This window comes from Homo sapiens, chromosome 16 (genome assembly GCF_000001405.40).
Source record: "Homo sapiens chromosome 16, GRCh38.p14 Primary Assembly".
NCBI lineage: Eukaryota > Metazoa > Chordata > Mammalia > Primates > Hominidae > Homo > Homo sapiens.
In genome coordinates, this window is record NC_000016.10 from 1,116,825 (window position 1) to 1,142,630 (window position 25,806).

At 63.1% G+C, this 25,806-nt stretch overlaps 1 long non-coding RNA gene across 3 annotated transcripts, besides 11 other annotated features; it reads right to left on the reverse strand.

Moving 5' to 3' along the window:
* Positions 461-1,029: an enhancer, noted in NCBI's record as "H3K4me1 hESC enhancer chr16:1167285-1167853 (GRCh37/hg19 assembly coordinates)". NCBI's record gives its function as "activates a minimal SCP1, AML or CMV promoter by ChIP-STARR-seq in primed H9 embryonic stem cells {active_cell/tissue: H9 hESC(primed)}" and the evidence as "EXISTENCE:reporter gene assay evidence [ECO:0000049][PMID:30033119]".
* Positions 8,766-10,851: a meiotic recombination region, noted in NCBI's record as "meiotic double-strand break mapped by DNA meiotic recombinase 1 chromatin immunoprecipitation followed by single-stranded DNA enrichment and sequencing in the germ cells of some male individuals with the PRDM9 A/A, PRDM9 A/B and PRDM9 A/C genotypes". NCBI's record gives the evidence for it as "EXISTENCE:chromatin immunoprecipitation-seq evidence [ECO:0000229][PMID:25395542]".
* Positions 8,766-12,206: a biological region, named in NCBI's record as "16p subtelomeric meiotic recombination hotspot".
* Positions 9,391-12,206: a meiotic recombination region, noted in NCBI's record as "MboII-BspHI interval". NCBI's record gives the evidence for it as "EXISTENCE:polymerase chain reaction evidence [ECO:0000082][PMID:10767349]".
* Positions 9,758-9,770: a nucleotide motif, noted in NCBI's record as "nucleotide motif; similarity to the predicted 13-mer PRDM9 A binding motif (LD hotspot motif), CCNCCNTNNCCNC".
* Positions 9,772-9,784: a nucleotide motif, noted in NCBI's record as "nucleotide motif; similarity to the predicted 13-mer PRDM9 A binding motif (LD hotspot motif), CCNCCNTNNCCNC".
* LOC105371042 (uncharacterized) lies at positions 9,800-17,477 on the reverse strand. Of its 3 annotated transcripts, none has more exons than XR_932993.2 (4): positions 16,982-17,477; positions 16,669-16,888; positions 11,282-11,384; positions 9,800-11,164 (listed from the first exon to the last, which is right to left on the reverse strand). It is a non-coding gene; the product is annotated as an uncharacterized LOC105371042 (long non-coding RNA). The 3 variants fall into 3 exon arrangements; XR_932992.2 differs by having other exon boundaries at positions 16,664-16,888; XR_932994.2 differs by lacking the exons at positions 16,669-16,888; positions 16,982-17,477 and adding an exon at positions 11,493-12,483.
* Positions 11,181-11,196: a nucleotide motif, noted in NCBI's record as "nucleotide motif; similarity to the predicted 16-mer PRDM9 C binding motif, CCNCNNTNNNCNTNNC".
* Positions 11,648-11,660: a nucleotide motif, noted in NCBI's record as "nucleotide motif; similarity to the predicted 13-mer PRDM9 A binding motif (LD hotspot motif), CCNCCNTNNCCNC".
* Positions 11,667-11,679: a nucleotide motif, noted in NCBI's record as "nucleotide motif; similarity to the predicted 13-mer PRDM9 A binding motif (LD hotspot motif), CCNCCNTNNCCNC".
* Positions 11,893-11,908: a nucleotide motif, noted in NCBI's record as "nucleotide motif; similarity to the predicted 16-mer PRDM9 C binding motif, CCNCNNTNNNCNTNNC".
* Positions 21,185-21,685: an enhancer, noted in NCBI's record as "H3K4me1 hESC enhancer chr16:1188009-1188509 (GRCh37/hg19 assembly coordinates)". NCBI's record gives its function as "activates a minimal SCP1, AML or CMV promoter by ChIP-STARR-seq in primed H9 embryonic stem cells {active_cell/tissue: H9 hESC(primed)}" and the evidence as "EXISTENCE:reporter gene assay evidence [ECO:0000049][PMID:30033119]".

A 25,806-nucleotide genomic window follows, 5' to 3' on the forward strand; every position in this document is an offset into this window, starting at 1 on the left:
CTCTCTACCGAGGAAGCAAACAGTCTGGGGTGCGGGGGTTAGCAAGGTCACCGCGCCTGGCCCCTTCCCCGCCCCCCTCTGCTCCCCCGGCCTCCCCCGTTCGCTCCCCCCGCCTACCCTCCCCAACTCAGGGTCCTCAACCCCCAGGATGCCCCCCCACAACCTCCAGCCCATGATCTGTGGTCCAGGGGACCCTCCCCGCCCCCACCTTCCTTTCCACAGGGGCGGCCTTGCCCTGGAGGCCCCACACCCTCCCCTCTCCCCTGCCTGGGTGCTGGATCACCCCTCACCCTGTCCCCACAGGCCCAGGATGGCTGAGGCCCTGCCCCCACCCCTGCCGAGGTGGGTCCCCCCAGCCTCCCACAGCTCCATGTGGTCACCATCGACCCCACAGACGAAATTGAAGCTGGAGTACGGGGAAGGGCCCCCCCAGCTGCGGAGCCTCCACCTGCAGGAGCTGCCAGGAGGGAGGGGCGGGGACGAGATCCCAGGCCGAGCCCAGCCATCCCGCGCCCCCGCCTTCCCCCAAGGCCCTGTCTGACCCTGCAGACGGACTCAATCTCCAATCCCTGCTTCCCTGGACAGATGCTTCTGGAAGGTTCCCTCAAGGAGGACAGCTGCCCCCTGTGCCTGGTGTTCCTGACTCTGAGCCAGGGCCGGGAGGGAGCCCCTCCCCTCCCTGAATGCTGGGGACGTCCCTGTCACAGGGTCTGCTGGAGGCTGCAGACTTCCCGAGGCCTCGTCTTCACCAGCCTGAGCCAGGGAGTTGGTCGGACGGGAGAGGGACAGAGGGGAAAGCAGGGAGGGACGCCAGGGAGGAGCCCCCGTGCCTCTGAGTGTGGCTTCTGGGGGCCCGGGCGGACCCCCACTCCCCACCGCAGGACAGGGAGGCGGTGCCACCTGGCCCTGGACCACCGAGGCCAAGGTCTCACAGGAAGCTCAGCCTCCAGCCCCTGCAGATCCGCACGGCAGCCGCAGACATCCTGAGGACGACGCGTCCTGGGGTCCCAGCTGCACGAGGCTCAGGACAGAGCTGGGGGTGTCAGCGACAATATTTCCCTCGCTCGTACATTCCTTGGTAATAAAAACACAAGCGGAACACAGTCTGATGACTCCTTTTGAGAATCAGGTCAGATTGTTCCCAAGGCCAAGAGCAAGGGAGGAAGGGAGCCCGGGGCCGCTCAGACGACCCGGCAGGAGAAGCCCCGGACACGGCTGGACACCGCGGCCACACAGGGAAGCAGGGGCTGGGTGGGGTCTTCCAGCTGGGAGAGGGGCCAGGTGCAAAGGTACGGAAGGGTGTCCCCGAGACCCCGGGGGCTGGGGCTACAGGGTCAGGAGGGCCTCCGGCCAAGGCTGTAGACCCGGCTGCGCCCACCTTCAGCCACCCCCACCGCCTGCACCCCCCCAGGCTCCCCCGCCTGTGCCCAGACCTCCAGAGCTGGCCAGGCCACGTGCCCGGCTCCACAGGCCCATGTGGGTCCATCGGGAAGGGACCAGGAGGGGTCAGACGGGCTCCTGCCCACCTGTGGGGGGGCCAGGAGTTCAGGTCACTGCGGTGCCCCCACCTCCTGGGGTCCCAGGGGAGGCCTGGGAAGGCGTGGCTGGCTGGGGGGCCTGGAACCTAACCGGAGGAGGAGGAGGAAAGATGAAGGCTCCACTCCCATCCCAGCCTGGCCTTGTTTCCCATCCGTAAGGGTCAGCTATCTCCAGCTGCTGTGCCGGCCCCTGCGTCAGATCCTCTGACGTGGGCTCAGGTGTGAACGCAGCCCCTGTGCGTGGATGCCTCTCCCGGCACGAGTCCTGGTGAGTCTCCACCTCCCCCAGGCTGGGTGGGGAAAAGGACCGAGAAGGCTTCCAGACACTGGGGCCCGGAGCAGAGCCTCCAGGGAGGCACAGGGAGGCCCAGTCTTGGGTCCTGAGCCCTCTGGAGGCCAAAAGGGCAGTGAGGAGGCGAGAGGGGTGCTCTCAGCCCTGGCCCCAGGGTCCCCAGGCCCCTCTGCCCAGCCTGGCACCTTCGCCAGCCCTGCCTGCTGAGCGTGGAGCAGCCTCCGCGGAAGGTGAGCTCTGCCCAGGTCCTGGAGGTGCGGCCTCTGCTCCATCGCGGCCTGGGGCCCAGGAGGCCAGGAAGGAGAGCGAGTGGGCGCTGGCAGACAGTGGGCAGGGCCAGGGCCTGCGGACAGGCTCCAGCACCAGCCTGTGAGCAGCTGCCCAGCCTCTTGGCCTGTGAGCCCTGAGCAGGTGTGAAGACGGAGTTGAGGTGGGGACCCCCACCCGTCACAGACACCAACGACAGTGATTGCAGCCAATTCTCTGAAACCGCTGGGCCCTCGACAGTGTCTCTGGGTGCCGCTGACCAGGTGCCTGGCTGGCGTTGGCCCTCTTGGGCCCTCGAGAGGTGCAGGGAGGGTTCTTGGAATTGGGGCCCTCTTTCCTGGGGGAGAGATGCAGGCATGGCCTCCCCAGTAGCCACCGGGGGAAGGTGAGGTCTCCCCATGGCCCTGCGGGCCGAGCAAGGCCAGAGTCGGGCCCCTCCCTCCAGGCCCCGGCGCGGCTCTGTGTGGATGTTAGTGAGGGATCGCCCCTTGCCCGCAGCCCACACAATGAGCCTGAGATGATGTGGCCGATATGGCCAGCAGGGTGGGAGCAGGCCCCTCCCACGGCGGTAACGCACTTCACGTTGTTATAAATCTTGATTTCCTTCACAAAAGAGGAAAGGGCACTCTGGGACCCCGCCTTGGCAAGGGACAGGCGTCTTGGTCTAACAGACAGCACTTACTCTGGGTGGACAGGAAATTCTTTCCCAGTAGGGCCACGGCTGGGCTCTGAGCCTACCCCCAGGGACCAGCCACACACCCCCAATCCCCACTCAGAATCCTGTCTCCCTCCTCCCATCTCTCTGGCATCTTCAGGCCCACCCAGGACCCCCTCCTGATGCATTCCACGGCTGCCCCAGCTCCCCGATGCCCCCCTGCTGCCCCCAGCTCCATCTTGTGCACCGAGCAGCCCCGCAAGGCACAGCTGAGCTCGCTCCTGACCAAGCAGAGGGTCCTCCAGGGCTTGGGGCGAGTGGCTGAGGGCCCCCCGCTGCAGCAGGCCTGGGGCCCTCCTCCAGGGCACGTCTTGATCACGGCCAGAGTCCCAGAAGTGCCACCACTCAGCCCTGGCGTGGGCATGAGGCACGTCAGGTCTGGAGGAGCTGCCTGCACACCCTGGCCTGGAGAGGCCTGGCCACCTGAGGCCACCAGACCCTGGACAGAGGCCCTGACGCCACCCACTTCCCCAAGGGCCGGCAGGAGTCATAGGATGGCAGCGGGGGCTGCGGGCCCATCTCATCGGAAGCGGGTGGGTTCCCTTGAGATAACAGCATTTGCATTTTTTCACATTTGCCATAAGCTGCCAGCCACCTGCTCTAAGGATTTCCCCGATAATCATTGCTCAGGGCAACAGATTAGCTTCCTAGGGCTGTCCTGACCGCAAGCCACAAACCTGGTGGCTAGAACAACAAACTGTCCTCCCAGGCGCTGGAGGCCGAGTCCGATCTGGGCATCGTCAGGGTGCGGCTTCCTCCAGAGGCTCCAGGGAGGATCCTTCCGGCCTCTGCCGGCCCCGGGGCCCCCAGTTCCCAGCCTTGTGGCTGTTTCCGGTGCTGGGGCCCAGAGGGGCTCAGGTGTGGCGTGTCCGGCCAGGGGCTGCAGCCGGCGCGGTACAAGGCTGTCGTGGGAGACCGGGTTGGGTGGAGCTGGGGCCACAAGATTTGATTTCCGTGCCGTGGGAGACGCACAGGTGGGGCCGGGTGCCCCCAGGGGCCTGACTCTGTTTGCCCGGTTAATAGACCTGAGGACGCAGGGGTCCCCACCCACCGCAGGCCCTGGCCAGAGAGGGACACAAATGGCCACGGTGTACTCTGGGAATGTGGCCTGTTTCTATGACGACGAGGCCCTCCTGATCTCAGCGGAGAAATGCTCGCCAGGCTGGGGGTGGGGGCCGAGCCGGACCCCCACTGCCAAGCAAGGGTCGGGGCTCCCACAGGGCCGCCTCCCTCCCGCCGGTGTCCGGGGCTGCCTGGGGTTCCTTGAGCTGGGGGGCCTGCCATGCAGTCCCGTCTCCCGCGGGTCCCCTCGCCCCGACATCCCCTCAACATGTCCCGCAGGCCCGGGGTCCTGTCAGGGGAAACCGGCTCCCCCGGCTCCCGGGTCTCAGTTCCGACATCACCTGCACCTCAGCCTCCCGGCTTGTGGGCTGGAATTCTCCATCTTGTCCTAAATGTTTCCCATGAAACTCCCTCCCATGCACAACAGGGAGGCCTAGAAGCTAAGCCCCTTTCCCCGGAGCCCCGAGCCCGGCCGGGGAAGGTGTCGAGTCAGTGGCAGAGTGGAGGTGAGGGCGCGTTTCAGGGGCGACACCCCTCCACGCACCCGTAGTGGCCAAGCCCACCTCCGGGGGTTCCCGGGCCCCAGAGTGGACACGAGTGCCCAGGGGGCTGGGCCCAAGCCAGGGAGGGTCTGTCGGCCCCTCCCCACCCCGGGGACCAAGCGTGCCTTTCCGAGGGCCAGATTCACACATCCCCCGGCCCGGGGGGTGACTTCTCCGTGCCCTGGGGTTCTTAACAAAGCGCCCGATGTCCTGCCTGAACTCTGGTCTGCGGTGTCGGTGATAAATTGATATTTTTAAACTCTTTAATGGTGTGCGAGTGACATAATGGCGCTCACCATCCCATAATTGTCCCGGATCAATAGGGACCATTCAGCTTCAGCCAGGCCGCCCCTCGGGGCCCCCGCCTATCCCCACAGCTCCGTCTGGATACCCCGGACGGCACCGGAGACTCAGAGGCCAGGAAAATCATTTCTGGGAGGACACAGTTGCTGGAGTCGAGAGAGGCCCAGGGAGGGTTTGGCTGGGCCTGGGTCCCCGAGGGGCTGGGGGCTGAGGGCCACAGCCCTGGGCAGGATGCATGTCCTCATCTGGCAGCCGGGGCCACCCCAAGGTCCAAGCTGAGGCAGGTTCCCGTGCAGCCCCGGGGGTCCCGCCTAGAGGCCCTGGTGAGAAAGCACTCTGTGTGTGAGGGGCACAGGGATGCTGGGGCCTGGGTGACCAGCCAGCCCCTCGCCGAGCCCTCTCGGGTCCCTGGGCCTGTCCCCAGCTCTCCTGGTGATGTCAAAGGCCTGAGTCATGCATGAGAGGCAGCCTGGAGCGAGAGGGGACTCCGTCCGCAGCCTCTGCTTCAGCCAAACATTGAAACAATCGCTCCTGAGGGTGACGTGTGAACACGCTCAGGCAGACAAGACATTGTTTGGGCCCCGATTATCTTCAAGAGAGAGAAACAGGGTACTCTGTGGGGCTGCTCTGACTGGACGGACATGAGAGGAGGTCCTGATGCCGGGCTGATGTACCCCACGCGCAGGCGTGAGGCGAGGACGTCCCAAAGCCAGGGGCCTCCTTGTGCTCCTCCCTGCCCACCTAGAGACACAGGTGCGTCTTGTGACCTGCCCACTGGCCAGCTGTTTCCCACAGTTCCAGGGTGGGCAGGGCCGTGTCTCAGCTCAGAAGGAAAAGTCCTAAATTCTCTGCCCCAAGTGGCAAAAGTCCTGGGCCCAGCTCTGCGGTACGGTGTGAGGGAGGGCAGGGGGCAGGGACCCCAGAGACCAGGGGAGTTTCTGCAGGGGGTTCCCCGGGAGGATTCCCAGAGAGGCACCAGGGTGGGTGCTGGGCGACTGGGGGAGGGCCGCCTCCGTGACACGGACATTGGGGAATGGAGGGAGAGCGTGTGGGGGGACGTCCCAGCCCTCTTGTTCGGGGTCTGAGATGGGGGAGGACTCGTCCCCACACGCCGCTGGACCCCCCTGCTTGCCCTCTCCATACCTGGACAGGCCCAGTCCCTGGGAGCTCGCAGCCTCCTTCAGGAATCAACTCCTGATCCCTTCACTCAAGGACCATCTATGGCTCCCCACTGCCCATAAGAAAAATGTGCCCTCCCCTTAGCTGGCACCCAAGCCCTTCGATGACCTGCAACAGCTCTTTCCCTGCTGAGGCCTCAGGGCTGCTGTCGCCCCGTCCCGCCTGATCAGTCTCCCCCCAGGCCTGAACAAGCATATCAGCCCTGGTCCTACCTCCATACCCACCCACAGCCCCTACCCAGCCTCCCCTGGCGCCCTCCCACACTCCTCAGCAGCGCGGCCCTGTCCTCTGAAGGCCCCTGGAGAGGCTGAGGTCCTGGGGTCTCCCCCATCAGTAGAGGGGGCCAGGCCAAGCAGGCTGGGAGGGTCCTGGGGATAGGGGGCTCAGCTCCCGCTGCCACAGGGCTGGGGGGCTGAGCCTGCGGGAGCCCCGTCCCTGGTTGCAGGTCAGCCAGTTGGGATGGGGGCCCAGGTCCCAGGCTGTGGGGCAGGCTCAGGGCCCTCCCTCTGCAGTCACCCCGCCCCCCAAGTTCTGAGCAGCCCCCGGCACCTGGGGCCGATCTACAGGTGCATTTTGTACATAGAATCTGACCCACAGGTTGTTTGTTGGATAAGGGGAAAATCCCGGAATCCAGGAGGCCCGTGCGCCTTCACCTCCGGCCTCCCGCGCGCCTTCACCTCCGGCCTCCCGTGTGCAGTTGAGGGTCTCGTCGGCCTGCAGGTCCAGCGGCTGCAACTGGGCAGCCCCTCCTCCTGGGAGTGGCGGGGACTGGCATTTGTGGTCTTCGGAAGCCCCTGGACCCTCTGCAGGAGCCTTGGCTTTGGGCTTCTGGGGTTCCCGGGTGCCCGGATTCCTGGCTGCCCTGTGCCTCCAGGACCCCAGGAGGGAGAGATGGCCTGACCCAGGCCTGGCCCCAGTGGGGAACCCAGCAGTGCCAGAGGGCGGGGGCAGGAGGTGCCCTGTGGGGCTGCCCTTTGAGCTGTGCCAGGCCTCTGGGCACTGCACGCCTGGGAAAGCCCCTCTGTTGCCCCCAGGACAGACCCTTGTACAAAGCTGGGACTTCCCTCCAGGGACCCCTCCCTGCCCGGCCAGGGGAGCCTCCCCCGACTGCCTGCGCTGCCCCCGGGACCCCAGCGTCCAAGGTGGGTCAGGCTGGACTGTGGGGCTGGGGGAAGCCGGGCAGCTCTTCTGATCGGCTCCTGGGCCAGCGCTGAGTTCAAGTTTAAGTTGCTGGAGCAGGCACTGCAGGCCTGGGGGAGGGGCTCGGCTCTGTTCTGTGGGTGAACCCTGGGCCCAAAGCTGTGACGTTTAGATTTAACAGCAGGAGGTGAGGGTGGTGGCGGGAGGAGCCCTGGCCATCTGGTGGATGGAAGGACAGGAGGCCACGGGGGCTCCAGGCACAGCTGTCCCTGCGTCGGCGGGTGGAGGGGCAGGGTGCAGAGGTCCCCATCCCTGGACGTAGAAACCAGGGCCAAGGGGTCACCATGCACCGACACCTTTCAAGCCCACCCCACCCCGTAATCCTCTCCGCCCCTCAGCATTTCCTGCCTCTCCCTAAAGCTCCCAGGCCAAGGGGAGAGAAGAGGGAGGCTGGGGCCAGTGTGGCCTGGGCCGAGCCCCCGTTGGGCTGGACGGGAGAACACAGTAGAGGGGTCTTGGTGCCAATGCCCCTCCGCCCTGCTGGCCGCCCCAGCTGGTACCTGAGCAGGGGACCCCCCCAGGCCCAGGAGGCCCTGGTTGGCACAAGGATTCGGAAGCACAGGTAGCGGCCCAGGTGGGCAACCAAAGCCCAGGCCACCGGGGGACCCGGGGGCTTCCCCTCGGGGCGGGCAGGTCGGGGCACCGGCCACTGGGCCACAGCTGTTTAGAGCGGGTTGGGCCCCCTGTTGCCAGGGAAGACTGAGGCTCAGCGTTGCCTGCAGCGTGGGGGGCTGGGGTCCCTCGAGGTCGTCCCATGGAAGGATGGGGCCACACCCAGAAGCCCCCACCCACATGGAGGCCTCCCCTCCACCCAGGCCCTGACCCTTCCGGGGGATCTGCAGGACTGACGTGCAGGGAGCACCCCACTCCTAGCCTGAATTGGCAGGAGGTCTGAGTTCAGGAGAAAATGGACCACGGAAGGTGCCGGAAGACCCTGCCCCCCACCCAGCAGGGTCCTGAGTGGGCCCAGCTGGGCGCTCCAGCTCCCCTGGCCAGGTGTGGGGCTCGGCCCTCAGGGAGTGCACCACGCTGGACCCCTGGCCAGCAGGATTGACATCCTGGGGCTCCCATGCCTGGCTGGAGGCCCCCACCGCCCTCACCACAGGAAGCCCTGGAACAGTGTCCCAGGACAGTGGGGACCTCCCGGGTGGGGCCGCCTCTGACACCCTGATGTTCCTCTCTGGGAGCCTGTGGGGCCCCCATCCTCTGGCCTGCAGGGCCTCTGGGCTGTGGTCACCCCGGACTGTCGGAGCACCGCCAGGCCACCCAGGATGACCACTGCACTTTTGGGGAAGCTGAGGCCTATGGAGATGGGGCTAAACCCTGGTAACCCCCCAACCCTGCTCTGCACAGCGGCCCATGGAGACCTGGCCTTGCCCGAAGTGGCCCAGGAGGGGCTGCACCCAGCACGGCCTCTCCTCACTGTGGCCCAGGCAGAGGGGACAGGCAGCTCCTGCTGTCATTTTGGGTCCAGCAGGAAGGTCCCCTACCACCCCCTGAGCCTGGAGTTCCACCATCGAAGCTGCTTGGCCTCTCAGCTCTAAGCCACAGCAGCCGCTGGGAGAACTGTCAGCCCCTCCCGGGAGCAGGACTGGGAGTGGGAGCCTGGAGCTCCCAGGGCCACCCCTTCCTCCAGGGCCGGCGGGCCACGCCTCCCTCTCCCAGCCATCCAGTGTTAACACCGCCTCGCCTTAGCAAGCGGCAAGACATAAATATTGGAACCTGGGTTCCTCCGCCCTACGGAGATGGTGACGCCGGATGCGCGAGGCAGTTGCCTGGCAACCCTGCTGCCGGCACCCACGCAGGCCCAGCCCTGCCTCCACTCAGCACCTCCTGCTCGGGGCTCCAGCTGGCCAGGCTCTGAGGGGACTGGGTGCAGACCCCCTCTGGAGATGGGCCAGGCTGACTCCCTGTCCCCTGGGGTGGGCTTCGGCCCATAGGCCCCAATGGTGGAGCAGAAGGGGGCCCTGGCCGAATCCCTCTGGACGGGTGGGGTGTCTGCCAGCCGACTCTCCTATCCACAGCGGCCTGTTGCCCCAGGGCACCTGCCCCCAAAAGACAAAGAGAAAGCCAGAGAGTCCCCACCAAGAGCACCCTGGCCCCACTCCAGCCTGAGTGACCTCTGGAGCTCCGGCCTCTTTGCCATCCTCGGATGAGGAACTGAGGCACAGAGGCTGGGCCAGCCCGTGGCCAGGTGGCGGGTTGGCCCCATCAGGGGCAGGACCGGCTGATTTGAGAAGTGGAAACCCAGTTTTAGACCGGAGGGTGATGTTGCCCGTCCCCGTGTGATGAGTGATCCGAGGCAGACCTGGGCGAGGGGAGGCTCCCAGTGAGACATCAGTGACATTGCAGCAGAGGCTGAGGGGCCCTCGGGCTCCAGCTCCCCGGTGCTGGAACCGACTCCATGGTCACCTGGTGAGGGAGGCCCAGGTGCTGAGAGCCACCTGCAATCATACGGCCGGGCCAGAGCTGGAACTGAGAGGCCCCTGCCCCTCTCCCCACCGCCTGCTGTCCGGAGGGGGCTCTGGGGACCGAGGAGCCCTCTCCCCACCCAGGACTCACCCACCTGGAGTCCCTTTGCTGTTTCATCTCTGCAGAGGCCTCTGCAGCCCCACAGCCCCACTTGCTCCCCCTCCCAGAGGGGCTCAGGGCCCTCCCCCCGCCCTCCCCCCACCACCCTCCCCCCTCCCCTTCAGGGCTCCGGGCCCCTCTGCAGCCAGTCTGGATGGTGAAGACACTGTGGGGACAGAGTAGGCAGAAAGCCCTGCAGGAGAGAGCTGGGGACGTAAATCTGGTGACAGACCCCAGGGACTGGTTCAGGGCAGGGAAGGAGGCGGCCAGGCATTGGGGGTGGGGCCGTCCTGAGCCAGGTAGCGGAGGCCCTGGGGAAGGTGCCCGAAGGTCCCCGAGGAGGGGGAATGGGCTGCATGGGGAGGGGATGGCGAGGGCAAAGGCACAGGGTAGCCTGAGCTCCCTGTGCAGGGGGTGGCCTGAGGCCAGTGCAGACGGGGCCACCCCATCTTCAGGAGGAGGCGGACATGAAGGGTGCAGGGCTGCTCCAGCTTTCTTGGGACAGGCCACCAGCAAGCTCAGCAGGCTCGGGGAGGGGCCGTTCCTCAGCTCTGCTTCCCACAGATAAAGCTGGACAGAGACCCCGCGCCACCCAGCTCCAGGGACAGAGCCGAGCTCCAGGCCCAACCGAAGCTCCAGGGCCCAGCAGAAGCCCCACCACACCAGGGCCTCCCCTCCCTTAACTTCCACGGCCCTGGGCGCCCTCCTGTAGCCCCCACTGCAGTCTGAGGCCCTCTGCTGTCGTCCCACCTCCAGCCCCCACTGCAGTCCGAGGCCCCCTGCTGTCGTCCCACCTGGACGGGGCACAGAGTCCAGCGTTTCCCTCCTCCTCCCAAAGCGATCGAAGTGGCCTTCTCAGCCCCGAGAGCCCTGTGTCCCCTGATCGAGGAGGCGCCCGGCCCTGTCCTCCTGAGACCCTGTGGCCCCGTCTGTAGGGTGGGGGGTGAGGGCCTGTGCTGGGCCCAGGCAGTGGTTGGTTCTCAGATCCTGAGCCTCTGTGCCCTCTACTGAGGTGGGGACGCACCACCCTCCCGTGTGGATGGAGCTGGGGCGGGGTCTGACGTCCACTGCATCCAGGCTTAGCCCCGGAATCTCAGGTGTCCACTGGAACCCGGAGCAGAGGCAGCTGGGGGCTGTGGGGATCACCCTGATGGACCCCCGTTCCCTACTGCAGGGCCCAGGTGCCCTCCCAGGACCCCCTCGTTTTGCCCAGGAGGTTGGCAGGGGCAGTGGCTCAGCCCAGGGTCGGGAGACAGCCTGTAGGGCCCCTCGATGCCCAGGACCCTTCCTGAGGCCAGCCTGGGACAGATGCCCCTGAGGGACCCTGCACAGCAGGCATGACCCTCCAGAAGCCCCTCCCTCCAGCCTGGAGAAGGCACAGGTGCGTGTGGGGGTCCGGGCAGTTCTGCAGTTAGGGTGGTGTGTCTCCATATGGGTCTTGCTGATTAGGAGGAAGCCACATCTTCCAGTCTCGGGTGGGCAGCAGCACCAGGCCCTGGTGACAAAAGGACCCACGATAGGCTTTGCAGATCTGACACTTGCCTGGGGACCCCTCCATCTTATTTGAGAAAGTGCTGTGGGCTTTGCCGGGAACCCCCCTGCTGTCCTGCACCTCTTCGGCGGAACATCTGAGCATCCAGCATGAGAACGTCACCAGGACCCTTGGAGTTGCCGCTCACTAGAGCACCACAGTTCTCCCAGTCCAGGAAGGCTTCCTGGAAGAGGAGGCGCTGAGCTGAGCAGGGTGGGGAGTGACAGTTGGGGGTCCTGGGGCTGGAGGGGGTGTTCATTCCTGGGCCACACCGCACACTCTGAGCACCTACTGAATGCGAGAACGGCTGGGCAGGGTGCAGGGAACGCTCCGGAATGGCCCGATTCAGGTGGGGGGAGGGACCGGACAAGACAATAGAGGAGGTGTTGATAAGGACTTGGGAGAGCGCAGGAAGGAAGACGATGGGATGAGAGGCGCCCCAGGCGGCCCCCGTGTCCCCAGGACACCCCCATCCCCACTGCTGTCCATGGGAGCCATCAGTGTCGCCGGGCTCTGGGTCCTGGGGGGCCCCTGCCGAGGTGCGTGGCTCTCCGTCCACGTGTTCTAGCCTCACCCGTGGTGACCAGGCCCCACGTCCCAGCCTCGCCGTAGCCTGGGCATCAGTTTCTTGCGGGTTCTGACTGTGAGGATGAGGGGTGGGGACACGGCTCTGGAAACACCCTCCAAGTAGGCCGCTGTGTCCCTCCCTGGTCTCCCATAGGGCCCCTCCTGAGAGCCTGGGGTCCTTGGGCAGACCCCAGGGAGCCCAGGCTGACCCCTAGAACCAGCCTTTTCCAAGGTCCTCCAGGGCCTCTGGGTCTGAGCCTGCATTTCTTCACCCATAACACGGGCAGTGGGGGCCACGCCCTGACTTCTGGGGTCCTCCACGCAGCAGCAGCAGATGAGATGCCCTGGCCTGGCTCATCGGGGGACGGGCACAGTGGATGTGGGAGGACGGGACAGTTACCCGGCCCAGGGATCCTGCACAGACGCCTCCCGGCCCAAAGAGGCGAGTTTTGGAAACAGAGGTGATATTTGCCTTTCAAGGCAGCAGCCCCGGAAGCCGAATGTTTTACTTTGGGATCAGGCTGCCCAGGCCACACCATGCCAAGTCCACCTCCAGCCTGTTTGCGGGGCGGGGGTGAGGACTGAACCCCACAGTCCTGAAGCCTTGGTGTGCCTGCCTGCCCCGAGGAGGCCGGGCGGGACTGGGGACACGTCGCTCATTAGCAGGGTAGTGCCCGGGGCCTTCCCCAAACCTCCTGTGCCCGCATGGTGAGCCCCAGGGCGCTGAGGGCCCTAGCCAGGGACCACTGGGGTGGGGTCTAAATATCCCAGCTCCCTCCTGAACAGACACGTGGGGAGGCCCGTGCCCACCGCTCTGGGGCCTCCTCTGTGGCCCTCGCACCCAGCCTGGCCGCCCTCCGCCCGGGCCTGCCCCTGCTGCGGGGTTTTCCTGGGAAGGCTGTACTGAGTCAGGATCTGCTTCCGGGAGGATCTGCTTCCGGGAGGATCTGCTTCCGGGAGACCGGCAGATACACCCAGGGACACTCAGCCTTCCTGCACTTCAGACTCCCCTCCCTCTGCTTGCCCCCGCTCCGTGCGGGCTGCCGCCCCTGCTGGTACCTGCACAGCGGCTGTTTGCAGCCCCCCACCCCAGGCTCCGGCTGAGTCCACAAGGCGGGTAGCGTGCTTCACCCTCAGGTGAACCCCGGGGGCCTCGTGCCTCGCTGCTGGGGCGTCTGCGCCATCGTGCGGGCTGAAGACGGTGTGCGTGGAGGGCTCCCAGCTGGTGTGTGTCTCCTTGCTGGGTTCTGCCTCGCCCACCATGCCCCGGGGCCCCTGCGGCCGCTGTGGAGAGGGCAGACCCCGGCAGCTAGCCCAGGGCCCAGCACCCGTGAGCGCACATTACGTGCCGGTGGACTGGGAGCCTCACTCCAATGCACCTGGGGTCCCTGTCTCATCCTGCCCCCGCCTTCCTCCAGGCTGCACGCCCTGCCCAACTCTGCTTGCGCCCCTGGGAAAGGGCTGGCCCTGCCCCCAACTCCCCGCGAGCTCGCCTCTGCCTCAGGGGACAGCTTTGCCCATTCCCTGCGGCACTGGATGGTGTTTCCTGGGGGCCAGAGGCACAGCTCATTTAATATGAACAAATGGATGGAGGGCCCTCAGGGACCCCTGCCCCTGTCCTCCAGGCCCCTAGCCCGCCCGAGGTGCCTCAGGGCCTGCGGTGGCCACAGCCGTCCCTCCTGGGCTGTGCACCCTCCCAAGGGACAACCCATGTGGAGGCTGGGGACGCCTTCACTTCGTGAGAGCTGGGGCCAGGCCAGGCTCCTCAGAGACCCCCAGAGGCTGCCCAGGAGGCTGGGGGAGAAAGACCAAGGGTGTGGTCTGGGGTCCATCTGGCGAGGGCCGGGGAAGGCTATGGCTGAGGGGCCAGAAGGTCCCCGGGGCAAGCACTGCCTCAGGCCCCTGCATCCCTCTCCTCTGAGGCCTGAGTGATGGGTGGCCCCACTCCCAGGTCACACTGCAATGACCTTTGACCCCCAGTTTATCCATCACCCCGATAATGCTGCCCCCCCAGGCCACCAGCACCCAGGAGGCTTTCCTGGGCCCACCTGTGGATGTGTCCCCCAGCCCCACACCAGGCAGGCCCTGGGAAAGACAGCGGATGGGGACGGCAGAGGGGGCCCGGTGCACGTCAGCTCCTTCCCAAAGTGCCTGGCCCCTCTCTTGCTGTCTGCACCTAAATCATCCTCCAAGCTGGGTGAGGCTCCCCTGGGTAGGCCGGGGGCAGATGCAGTGGGGGGGGCCGGAGGGTGCAGTGGGGGTGGGGGGGGCCGGGGGCCAGATGCAGTGGGGGGCCGGGGGTGCAGTGAGGGTGGGGGAGCAGGGATGCAGTGGGGGGGGGCCGGGGGTGCAGTGGCGGGGGAAAGCCAGGGGCCAGATGCAGTGGAGGTGGGGTGGACAGGGCACAGTGGGGGTGGGAGTCCCAGGGGCCAGATGTAGTGTGGGGGTGGGGGTGGACCGGGGACGCAGTGTGGGTGGGGGTCAGGGGATGAGCTACCCTTGTGCCCGCCCCTGGTCCACCATACCCAGCAACACCCTCTTCCTGGCATGGGGCTGTTCCTGGCTCCAGAGACTTCAGTATCGATCCCAAGACCGAGACTGCTGTCCGGGCCGCCTGCCCACTGCCTTGTGGGAACCTGGGGCCAGGTCCCTGTCATGTTCCCAGAGCCCGGCTCCAAGGAAGCTCTGAGGCCTAGGCAGCCTGGACAAATATGCCCCTCGGGTCTTCCCCAGGCCTGGGCCTGCCTGAGCTAGCGGCTGCAGAAAAGCCTTCCTGGGGGTGAGGTACCCATGGGGCAGCCCACCCAGCCTGCAGCCCCCAGACCAGGCTGCGGCACGGAGATCCCCAGACTCCCACCCACGCCCCCTGAGCCCATTCCTGGCCTCTGCTGACTGGCCGCCAACCGGTCCCTGGCCTCTCCTGCCCGTGCGCCGGCCGGTCCCTGGCCTCTCCTGCCCGGGCGCTGGCCCGTCCCTGGCCTCTCCTGCCCGTGCGCCGGCCCGTCCCTGGCCTCTCCTGCCCTTGCGCGTGCCCTTGGCGTGCTTCCCCTTGGGCAGGAGCGACACGCCACCTTCCAGTGCAGAAATCCAGGTGTCTCCGGGCGCTGGGTCCCCACCTTCCTTCCAGGCCTAGGGACGGTGTCCCACACAAGAGAAGGCACACGTCCCAGGTGAGGGTCCAAGTGCTAGGACCCCCCTGTGCACACCTGGACAGGCTTCGGGGCCTCCCTTGGCCCTGCTGGGGCCCACGAGCAGGGCTGTGGCTGCTGGTCGGGAAAGCTCTGCGCTCGGCCCGTGACTGGAAGCTCGGGCGATGTGTTGGGTTCCTGGGGCTCCGGTGACACAATGCCACCCCCGGGGGGTGTCAAACAGCAGAAGCATCCTCTCTCCCAGTGCTGGAGGCCAGAAGTCCAGCGTCGGGTGTGGGCACGGCCGCATGCCTTCCGGAGGCCGCAGGGGAGGTCCCTTCCTGCCTCTTCCAGCTCCGGAGGGCTCCTGGCGTCCTGGGCTCTGATCTCTGCTCTGACTTCTGAGGACGCCAGTGTGGGAGCGAAGGCCCATGTGGACGGTCCCACCTGGGCCTAGTCCTTGACTAGGCCGCGTCTGCAAAGATCCTTTTCCCAAGAATGTCGCCTCCACAGGCTCCAGCTGCAGGGTGTGCTCACGTTCTGGGGGGTCCACCGCCCACCCCTCCGCAGGTGACAGATCAGGACTGGTTTGCAAGAGAAGGCACAGCCCACAGAGAGAACAGCCCACAGCCCACATGCTGCTGCTGTGCCCCTCCCCAGGCTCCCCACCCCACCAGGACAAAACCCCCCAGCACTGGGACCACCTCGTGTCCCCTCCTGCTCCCCGTGGGGCAGAACCGCCGGGTCTGGGGCCACCTGCTTATTTCCAGAGCAGCTCCCTCCTCTGATCAAACAGGGGCGTGAGATCAAACAATTCATTAGGAACCCGTCCTGGGGGAGCGTCTGCTGCCGGGAACTGACTAGCCAGCGAGGGGCGGAGGCCAGGCTGGGGCCGGGAGACGCAGAGGGGACTCAGTGGGGATTTGGTGGGGGGTGTTGGGGCTTAGTGGGGCCGTGTGGGAGCCACTTGGTCTGCATGTGGAGGCTAGGAGGGGGCGCTTGGGGGCACATGGGATGCCATGTGGGGGCTGCATGTGATCTGCCTGGGATCTGCGTGGGGTCCCCATGGGGTCTGTGGGCCCACATGCTCAGCCACGCCTGCAGGACCACAGCACCCACTGCCCCATGTGCACGGCCACACGAGGTTAACACCTTCTAGCACATTCTGGGGCTCACCTCCTGTTGGCCCACGGCTGGGACAGACGCTGTGTCCACCACTAGCTCTACCCTCCCAGTGGGACCAGCGTCTGCCCAGGAAGGCCCCCAGGGAACCCAGCCTGGTGGGTCCACCTAAGCCCCTGAAGCCCCAAGGGCAACGGCCGCCCCTCCAGGCTTGGCTCAGAGCAGGCCCAGGCAGGCTGGGCCAGGGGTGCTGCTGGGAGACAGACCAGGGCGGAGGCCTCGGCGGCCTGGACAGGGACTCGGGCTGGCCTCTGGGTGCTGGGGGAGCTGACCGTTCCACTCTTGCTTACAAAACACAAGAAGGTCCGAGTAACAGGCTTCACACTGCCCGGGTCCCCTCTGCGTCCCCCTTCCCAGGCCTGCGTCCACCCCCAGGTGAAGGGAGTGAGGGCCAGTCCAGTCTAGCAGAGAGGAGACCCCGTCCTGCACCTTCCAGGCCACAGGCCCCCACCTCTGCTGTCCCTGTGGCCCTGGACGGCGGCTGTGCTGCCAGGACACCAAACCAGAGGCGTGGTCCCCTGGGAGGCTTGCGGCTTCCCCCAGCCCTGCGGGCCTGCTAGCGCGAAACCGGGTTGTCCAAACGCACCTTACCTGCTGGGTGTTCCCTGGGGGTGGGATGGGAAGACCCCCAACCGCAGGGCCTCGCTCCTTCCCGGGCTCTGCCCAGCTTCCCTCTGTCTGTCCTCCGGCAGGAAGGCCTCCAGAGATAACCAAGGCGTGGACACGCCAGGCACCCAGGTCTCAGCCAGGCACACGGTTCCCGTGTCTCACAGCCGTGGCCACCCTCTGCACAGGAACAATGACTACACCCCTGTCACAGGTGAGGAGACCAAGGCTCAGGAGGTAAGGACACCTGCCCAGGTCACGCAGGCAGGAAGGCCATCATGCCTCAGACCCAGATCACCTCTGAGCGGCCCAGAGAGGCCAGGGCCGGGGGTGCCTGGTCCCCGCGACGGTGGGGCTGTCAGAGCGTCCGTGAGGCTCGGGCTCCCGCTGTCTTGAGGTTTCTTCCTCCCTGCCCTGTTTCTCCTCCAGCCCTGGTCACGCCCTGAGGGCCAGCCCAGGGCCTCCAGACACAGGAGGCCTCAGGAAGCGCTGGGTCCACCTGGAAGGCAGCCACGGGCCTGGCCTGCGTGTGGGTTCTGTCTCCCGTTCCTGGGGCCGGCAAGACATCGGGAGGCCTGCTCACCTCTTACTTCCTCCAGGCTGATACTCTGCAGAGCCGACTCACCCCAGCCCTGGGGGCTCTGTGCCAGAAGCCACCCCACAGGGAGACCCAGAGCAAACACCCCAGGGACCCCATGGTCACGAGGGCCCGCCTGCCAGGCAGTTGGAGTGGGGACGCAGGACACCAGGACTGCAGGGCCCCCGAGGGGTTCCTGACACCACACAGCCTACCATGGCAGAGCCGGCCAGGCCACGCTGGGAGGGACTTGGCTGAGAGCACGGGGCATCCTAGGCCCAGGACGGGCATTGCCTCCCCTCAGTGTGTGGGCAGAAGCCCTGCTGGGCGGGGTCTTCAGGGATCACGGAGGGCAGGGGGACCAGGCACCTGCCCCACCCCACCCCACCCCGCTCTGCGTCCCTCTAGGAGTCCGCTCAGGAACACTTTTGGGGAAGGTGGGTGGGGCGGTGGCTGCCATCTGGAAATTCTAGGAGAGCCCCCACCCCCAGCCCTCTCCGGGGGCCAAAGATGCACCATTCCCAGGTGTGTGAGGGAGGATGAGAAGGGGCTGGTGGCTCATCTTCTCCTTGGGAGAGCACGGTGAGGGATGGTGTCTCTGAGGAGCTGACTAAGGTCTGGACCCTCCCCAGAAGGAAGCCCCAGCCTCTCCCGCCATCTCGGCTCCAAATTCAGGGGCCACACCCTCCCAATCCATCCATGGACTCTGACCAAGAACTTTGAGTGAGCCAGCCCCGCTGCCACCTGCACACAGAGACAGAGAATGAAGTCCTCCCCTCAAGCCCGCCCCTCTGAAGGGAGGTTGGGGAGCACCTGCTGTATGCCCGGTAGGCAGGGCCCGGGTGCCCCACACTGGCATCCCTCCTCCCAATTTCAGGGCCCGTCCCCGCCGCCTCCCTGGCCGCCGTGCTCCATCAACTCCTTCTGTTTAAATATTTAATCCAGTTAAATATTAAACCCCTTCCAAGTCCCAATTATAGCCAATCGATTCTCCACCACAGCTGTTGGGGCCAAGCTGGCACTCTGCCTCCCCGCCTGACGTCGGGGCAGCCTGGGGGATTGGGGTGGGGGGTGCCTGGAGGCGGGGGCTCCTGGCGTGGACCCATCGCAGCTCCGCCCCCCTATCCTTGACCTGTGAGACCCCCGCCCAGCACGGCTGCCCCACACACAGACGGCTGGGCAGGGCAGGTGAGCCGGGGTCCCAGCCCTAGGTCCCCTCTAGGTCCCAAGGACTCCATTGACTAGAAACACGAGAGAACCGTTCTCCGCAGCTCACTCCACGGTCTGCCCTGACCCCGGGGCCTGGGATCACCCGAATTATTCGCAGGGTTCCTGTTTTCGTAATCAGGGCCGGAGCTGGATGAAACCTTCCCTGGGGTGAGGCTGGGCCACAGAGGGGGGCCCTGAGAGCCAAGACTTATTTCTGTTCAAAATTGGTTTTTTTCTTTTCTTTTTCTCTTTTCCTTTTTTTTTTTTTTTTTTTTTTTTGAGCCAAGGTCTCACTGTGTCATCCAGGCTGGAGTGCAGTGGCGTAATCACAGCTCACCGAAGCCTCCACCTCCTGGGTTCAATTAATCCTCCCACCTCAGCCACCCAAGGAGCTGGGCCCACAGGTGCAGGCCACCATGCCTGGCTAATATTATTATTATTTATTATTATTATTATTATTGAGATGGGATCTTGCTTTGTTGCCCAGACTGGTCTCGAACTCCTGGCTTCAAACACTCCTCCTGCCTCCACCTGCCGAGGTGCTGGGATGACAGGTGTCAGCCCCTGCGTCCAGCCTCTAAGATCTTTTAAATATATTGAAAAGTACGGAAAACAACCGTACTAACCGTGCACCCCCTCCAAGGTCTAGGCCCCCATGGTGGGGCTTCAGGGGTGTTTAAATTCCCAGGAGCGGAAACCCTGGACTTCACCTGCCTTTCGCCGGCTGCCCTTCTCACCCTTCACGTGAGGGAGCCCCCCACAGGTGCATAAATGTGCGCATTTGTAGACGTGCAGCAGCTTATTGTTAAGCTTTACTGAGGTAAGGCATGTGTAGCACATGATTTACAAACAGTCATAAAATATGGGATAGGGCTCTGTCGTAAACCCCACATGGCTGATGGGTTCTGACGGGCGCCTCGGCTTGCTTCGGCCCGACTCTTAACGTTGCAGCCAGCCTGAGACTCCACAGCGCGAGGCTGCTCCCCACCTGCCGATTCTTGCCCCGATAAGTGTGTCATCCGTAAATCTGATCTGTGATCCACTGTTCAACTCTTTCTCACCCTGGTACAAGTGCTATTCGTGAAACGGAAGCTTCTTCCAGCTTCAACACTAATTGTAAGTGTATATGATTTAATTTTTAGTTGTAGCTGTTTAACAAGCAGCTCACTCATTTCTTAGGTATTTAACCACTGGCTCTTATGAACTGGTACATGTCGGCCCCACACGTGGTTGAGTCACCTGTGCAGACACCTGCTGGCCTGGCTCTCCCACGTCCCTGCACTGCGACCCTTCTGCTGGGGGTGTGGGGACGCCTGCCCAGCGTTAGTTCTGCCTCCTCCTCTCCTTGTCTGTTCCCCTGGTGTTTTCATGACTTTGGCTTGGCGGTAAGCCTTGAAATCTGCCCTTGTTATTCTTTGTTGAAATTGAAATTGGTGGTCGGGTGCGGTGGCTCACGCCTGTCATCCCAGCACTCTGGGAGGCCGAGGCGGGCGGATCACGAGGTCAGGAGATGAGACCATCCTGGCTAACACGGTGAAACCCCGTCTCTACTAAAAGAAAAATAAAAAAAAAATTAGCCGGGCGTGGTGGCTCACGCCTGTCATCCCAGCACTCCGGGAAGGCCCAGGCGGGCGGATCACGAGGTCAGGAGATCGAGACCATCCTGGCTAACACGGTGAAACCCTGTCTCTACTAAAAAAAATACAAAAAAATTAGCTGGGTGTGGTGGCGGGCGCCTGTAGTCCCAGCTACTCGGGAGGCTGAGGGAGGAGAATGGCATGAACCCGGGAGGCGGAGCTTGCAGCGGGCCGAGATCGCGCCACTGCACTCCAGCCTGGGCAACACAGCGAGACTCTGTTTCAAAAAAAAAGTGTGATGTATGGGCCGGGCACGGTGGCTCACGCCTATAATCCCAGCACTTTGGGAGGCTGAGGCAGGCAGGATCACCTGAGGTCAGGAGTTCAAGGCCAGCCTAATCAACATGGTGAAGCCCCATCTCTACTAAAAATACAAAATATTAGCTGGGCATGGTGGCGGGTGCCTGTAATCCCAGTTACTCGGGACGCTGAGGCAGGAGCATTGCTTGAACCCGGGAGGCGCAGGTTGCAGTCAGCCAAGATGGTGCCATTGCACTCCAGCCTGGGCAATAAGAGCAAAACTCCTTCTCAAAATAAAATAAAATAAAATAAAATAAATAAAGTGTGATGCATGTACATGCCTGTGAAACCACCACTCCACCAAGAGTGAAAACGTCCATTGCACTGAAAGCTGGAGCCCCTCGCTCCCCACCCCACCCCCAGAAGCGGCCCCCCTGCTCTCCATCACGGTGGGTGAATCCGAGGCCCCAGGATGGCGTGTGAGCGGGATCAGCCGCATGCGCTGTTTTCCTCTGGCTTCTCCCACCCGGCACAATGGCCTTGACATTCACCGCACTTCCGCGTCCGCAGCTCACTCATCCCTGGTGCGGTTGAGTCATGTCTCATGGTCTGAACGTCCGCGGTGGTTTAGCTGTTCTCCTGTCGGTGAACACGTGGGCCGTTTCCAGCTCGGGGCTACTGTAAGTCAAGCTGCCACGAGCACTGACGTAGGGAACAGCGTGTGACACATGCTTCCATTTATCCAGGGTCAACACCTACCCGTAGAGAGACGGGATCATGCACCCAATACACATTTTTTTTTTTTAGACAGAGTTTTGCTCTGTCACCCAGGCTGGAGTGCAGTGGCGCGATCTCGGCTCACTGCAGCCTCCGCCTCCTGGGTTCAAGCAATTCATCTGCCTCAGCCTCCCCAGCAGCTGGGATTACAGGCACGCGTCCCCACACCTGGTTTATTTTTGTATTTTTAGTAGAGACGGGGTTTCACCGTGTTAGCCAGGCTGGTCTCGAATTCCTGACCTCAGGTGATCCACTCGCCTCGGCCTCCCAAAGTGCTGGGATTACAGGCGTGAGCCACCGCGTCTGGCCAGTGGGAGCATATTTAACACTTTAAGGAATCCCAGCACTTTGGGAGGCCAAGGCAGGTGGATCACGAGGTCAGGGGTTCGAGAATAACCTGACCAACATGGTGAAAACCCATCTCTACTAAAAATACAAAAATTAGTCAGGTCTGGCTGCGGGCGCCTATAGTCCCAGCTACTGGGGAGGCTGAGGCCAGAGAATCGCTTGAACCTGGGAGGCGGAGGTTGCAGTGAGCTGAGATCGCACCACTGCACTCCAGCCTGGGCAACAGAGCAAGACTCAATCTCAAAAACAAAAACAAAGCTGGGCACGGTGGCTCATGCCTGTAATCCCAGCACTTTGGGAGGCCGAGGCAGGCAGATCATGAGGTCAGGAGATTGAGACCGTCCTGGCTAAGACGGTGAAACCCCATCTCTACTAAAAATACAAAAAAATTAGCCGGGTGTGGCGGCAGGCACCTGTAGTCCCACCTACTCGGAAGGCTGAGGCAGGAGAATGGCGTGAACCCGGGAGGCGGAGCTTGCAGTGAGCCGAGATCGCGCCACTGCACTCCAGCCTGGGCGACAGAGCAAGACTCCGTCTCAAAAACAAAAACAAAAACAAAAAACCACTTTAAGGAACTGCCGAACTGCTTTCCAAAGTGGTTGCACCATTTCACATTCCCAGCAGCCGTGCCAAGAGCTCCGCTTCCCACGTCCTCACCAACGCGTGGTGCCACCGTCCCACCCTTGAGCCCCTCCGACAGGCAGGAAGGGTCGTTGAGTTGTGGTTTCCCTGCGTTCTCCCCTCATGACCTGTGACGTGCAGTTTTGCTCCTGTGCTTATTTGCCATCTGTAAATCTTAGGTGGCATATTTATTTCAGTCTTCTGACCATTTTCAAATTGTGTTGTTGTCTTTTTAATATTAATTTTAAAGGGCCAGGTGCAGTGGCTCACGCCTGGAATCCCAGCACTTTGGGAGGCAGAGGCAAGAGGATCACTTGAGTCCAGGAGGTGGAGGCTGCTGGGAGCAGAGCTTGAACCGCTGCACTCCAGCCTGGGCAACAGTGGGAGACCTTGTCTCAAATGAATTTTTTTTTTTTAATTTCAGCAGTTTTTGGTACATTCTGAGTACAAGCCCTTTGCCATGGATCTGCACTGTGAATATTAACTCCCAATCTGTGGCTTGCGTTTTGAGTTTTTTTTTTTTTTTTGAGAGGAGTCTCACTTTGTCACCCAGGCTGGAGTGCAGTGGTGTGATCTCGGCTCACTGCAACCTCCGCCTCCTGGGTTCAAGCGATTCTTCTGCCTCAGCCTCCCGAGTAGCTGGGATTACAGGTGTGCACCACCACACCCAGCTAATTTTCGTATTTCTAGTAGAGACGGAGTTTCGCCATGTTGGCCAGGCTGGTCTTGAACTCCTGACCTTAAATGAATCCTCCCACCTCGGCCTCCCGAAGTGCTGGGATTCCAGGCCTGACCCACCGTGCCTGGCTTGATTTTGTGGGGTTTTTTTGTTTGTTTGTTGTTGTTGTTGTTTTGAGAGAGTCTCGTGTTTTTTTGTTTGTTTGTTTGAGAGAGTCTCATTCTATCACCCAGGCTGGAGTGCAGTGGCATGATGTCAGCTCTCCACAACCTCCACCTCCCAGGTTCAAGCGATTCTCATGACTGAGCCTAACGAATAGCTGGGATTACAGCATCGGCCACCACGCCCGGCTAATTTTTGTATTTTTAGAAGAGACGGGGTTTCGCCATGTTGGCTAGGCTGGTCTCGAACTCCTGACCTCAGGTGATCCACCTGCATTGGCCTCCCAAAGTGCTGGGATTACAGGTGTGAGCCGCCGCGCTCAGTCTGTGTTTTAAGAAATATTTGTCTCCACCAAGATCACACGGATATTCCCCTCTAATTTCCTATGGAAGCTTTGCTGGTTTTCCTCTGGTGGGCAGTTAAGAGCGTGTGTGTGGCGTGAGGCAGGGGTGGCAGCTCATTCCGGGTTATTCCGGTTTCCCCAGCACTGATTGCTGAGAAGCCTCCTCCTTCAGTGTCTGTAAGGCAGCTTTTCTTGCTCTCTGCTTTCAAGATTTTCTCTTTATTTTTAGATTTCAGAGGTTTGACTGAGTTGAGCCTGGGAGTGGTTTTCTCCGTATCGATCCCGGTTTGGGGTGGTTGAGCCTTTTGGATCCATAAATGCTGACTTTCCCGCACATTTGGGAAATCCAGGGCCTTGCTCTGAATTGCTTTTTCTGTCCTATTCTTGCTCCTCAGACTCTGAGGCTCCACCCACATGTGCATTAAACCACTTGAACCTCACAAATGTCTCTGAAACCCTATTTCCCTCCTGCCACTCTCCCACTCCAGGGCTGTCTACTGTCCCTCATGGCCTGACCACTGAGACTCAAATCCATTGCTCAAGGCTCTCGCGCATGCCAGAGTGTGAGGCCGAGACCCCCAGGGACGGCTGCCCTCAGACAGCCCGGCGCCTCCTTCTCCTGGCGGCACTCAGGCCTCCCACCTGCATGCCGCCCACGCCAGCTCCCACCTTCGCCAAACGCTGCTCACTCGCAGCCCCCACGTCAAGAGCCACCCCCCAACACTGGGCATCCGGCCTGAACGTCCGGGGTCTCCCCATCCCAGGCTCACCTGGCCTGGCTCTTGTCTCTGGTTACTGACATCTCACTGGGTCTGAGAGCAGGGGCTGCTTCTCACTTCTCGAGCCTGACACTCAGGTCCCGGCCAGCACGTCCTGGGCTCACGTGGGATGCTGGACCTCCCAGGAAGGTGCATCCTCCTTCCTGGCATCCCCAGACTGGGTGACTCCAGAGTCCTCTTTACAATGCAGCCTCAGCCCACCCAGATACGGCGGGCTCTGATGGCCAGTGGGGGTGAGGACAGCCAGGACCCTTGGACCTGTGGGCAGGGGCTGGACCGGGCTCTCCACCGCCTTGGCCCCTCTGCCGCCCTGGCCCCTCCTGAGGCCTGTTGGGCCGATCAAGGGGGCCAACAGACCCTGCCCCACTGGCCCAAGCCTGCAGATGCTCAGGGACCCTCCCAGGTGTCACCCAGTATGCCTGCCCAAGAACAAGAGGTGCCGCTGTTGATCTGCAAGCCATTCCACATCCCCGAGCAGCCCGATGGAGGGGGGCCCTTTCTGCTGTCCTTATCTCAGTAATAAAGCCACAGAAGAGGCTATAAATCCAGGAAAATTAAAGCTTCAGCATCTCCCGGGGAGAAATCTGTGTCGCCTGCAGCTGCTTTCTGACCAGGGGAGGGGCAGGAGCTGGAGGAAGGTCAAGGGAGGCAGGGCGGGTGGGGGGGGGGGTTCCTGAAGAGGACATCCTGTCATCGTCCCCAGGGCCTCCACACTGACCCCTGGGACTGGCCAGGGGTCCACCCCCACCCATCATCCACAAGGCCTGTCCAGCAAGCATTGCCTGTTCCCCAAGCGCCCAGCCTGTGCCTGGGACGGGGGCTCAGGACCCAAATGGAGGGCCAAGGGGTTGAACCTCCAGCACAGGCCCAAGGCTCAGCCCCGGGCTGGGCCCCCGGCTACACCCAGCACAGGCCCAGGTGTGCAGGTGCCCCCATACCCTCCTGAGACCCTGGCAGTGGGCAGGCTCATCCCAGAGCAAGCTCCACTTCAAGGTCCTCCTTCAAGTGGGCCCTGTACTCACCGTGGCCACTGCAGCTGGACCCTTGGCAGAGCCCACCCGTCCCTGCTGCCCCTGAGTCCTCACGCTCTGAAAGCATCCCCTGCAGGCCTGAACCCCCTGGTTCCACCAGCCCATCCCTCTGAGCTAAGGCCGTGCCTCCCTGGGGCTGGGCGGGGCTGTACGGGGCTGGGGGCAGCCTGCAGGCTGCTGAGATCTGCAGCCTTACTTTCCAACCCCAGCCCTGCGCCACGGCACTCACACTCCCAGATGACCCCGAAAGCACCTGCCGCCCCGTCCCATCCTCTTCCTCAGAACCCCTGCTCTCTGCTGTCAGTGGCAGGAGAGGGCCTGAGAAATTCATTCATGCTGCAACAGCCATGGCTGCTGCAGCGTGGTACACGGCCCCTCCTAGAAGGATGTGGCTTTTGAAAGGAAGAACCTAAGCCTGGGCAACGTATTGAGACCCGTCTCTACAAAAATGGAGAAAATTACTGAGTGTGGCGGGCGCCTGTGGTCCTCAGGAGCTACTCAGGAGGCTGAGGTGGGAGGATCACTTGAGCCCAGGAGGTCGAGGCTGCAGTGAACCGTGACTGCACCACTGGACTCCAGCCTGGATGACAGAACAAGAGCCTGACTTTAAAAAAAGAAAAAGGCGGCCGGGCGCGGTGGCTCACACCTGTAATCCCAGCACTTTGGGAGGCCAAGGTGGGCGGATCACGAGGTCAGGAGATCGAGACCATCCTGGCTAAC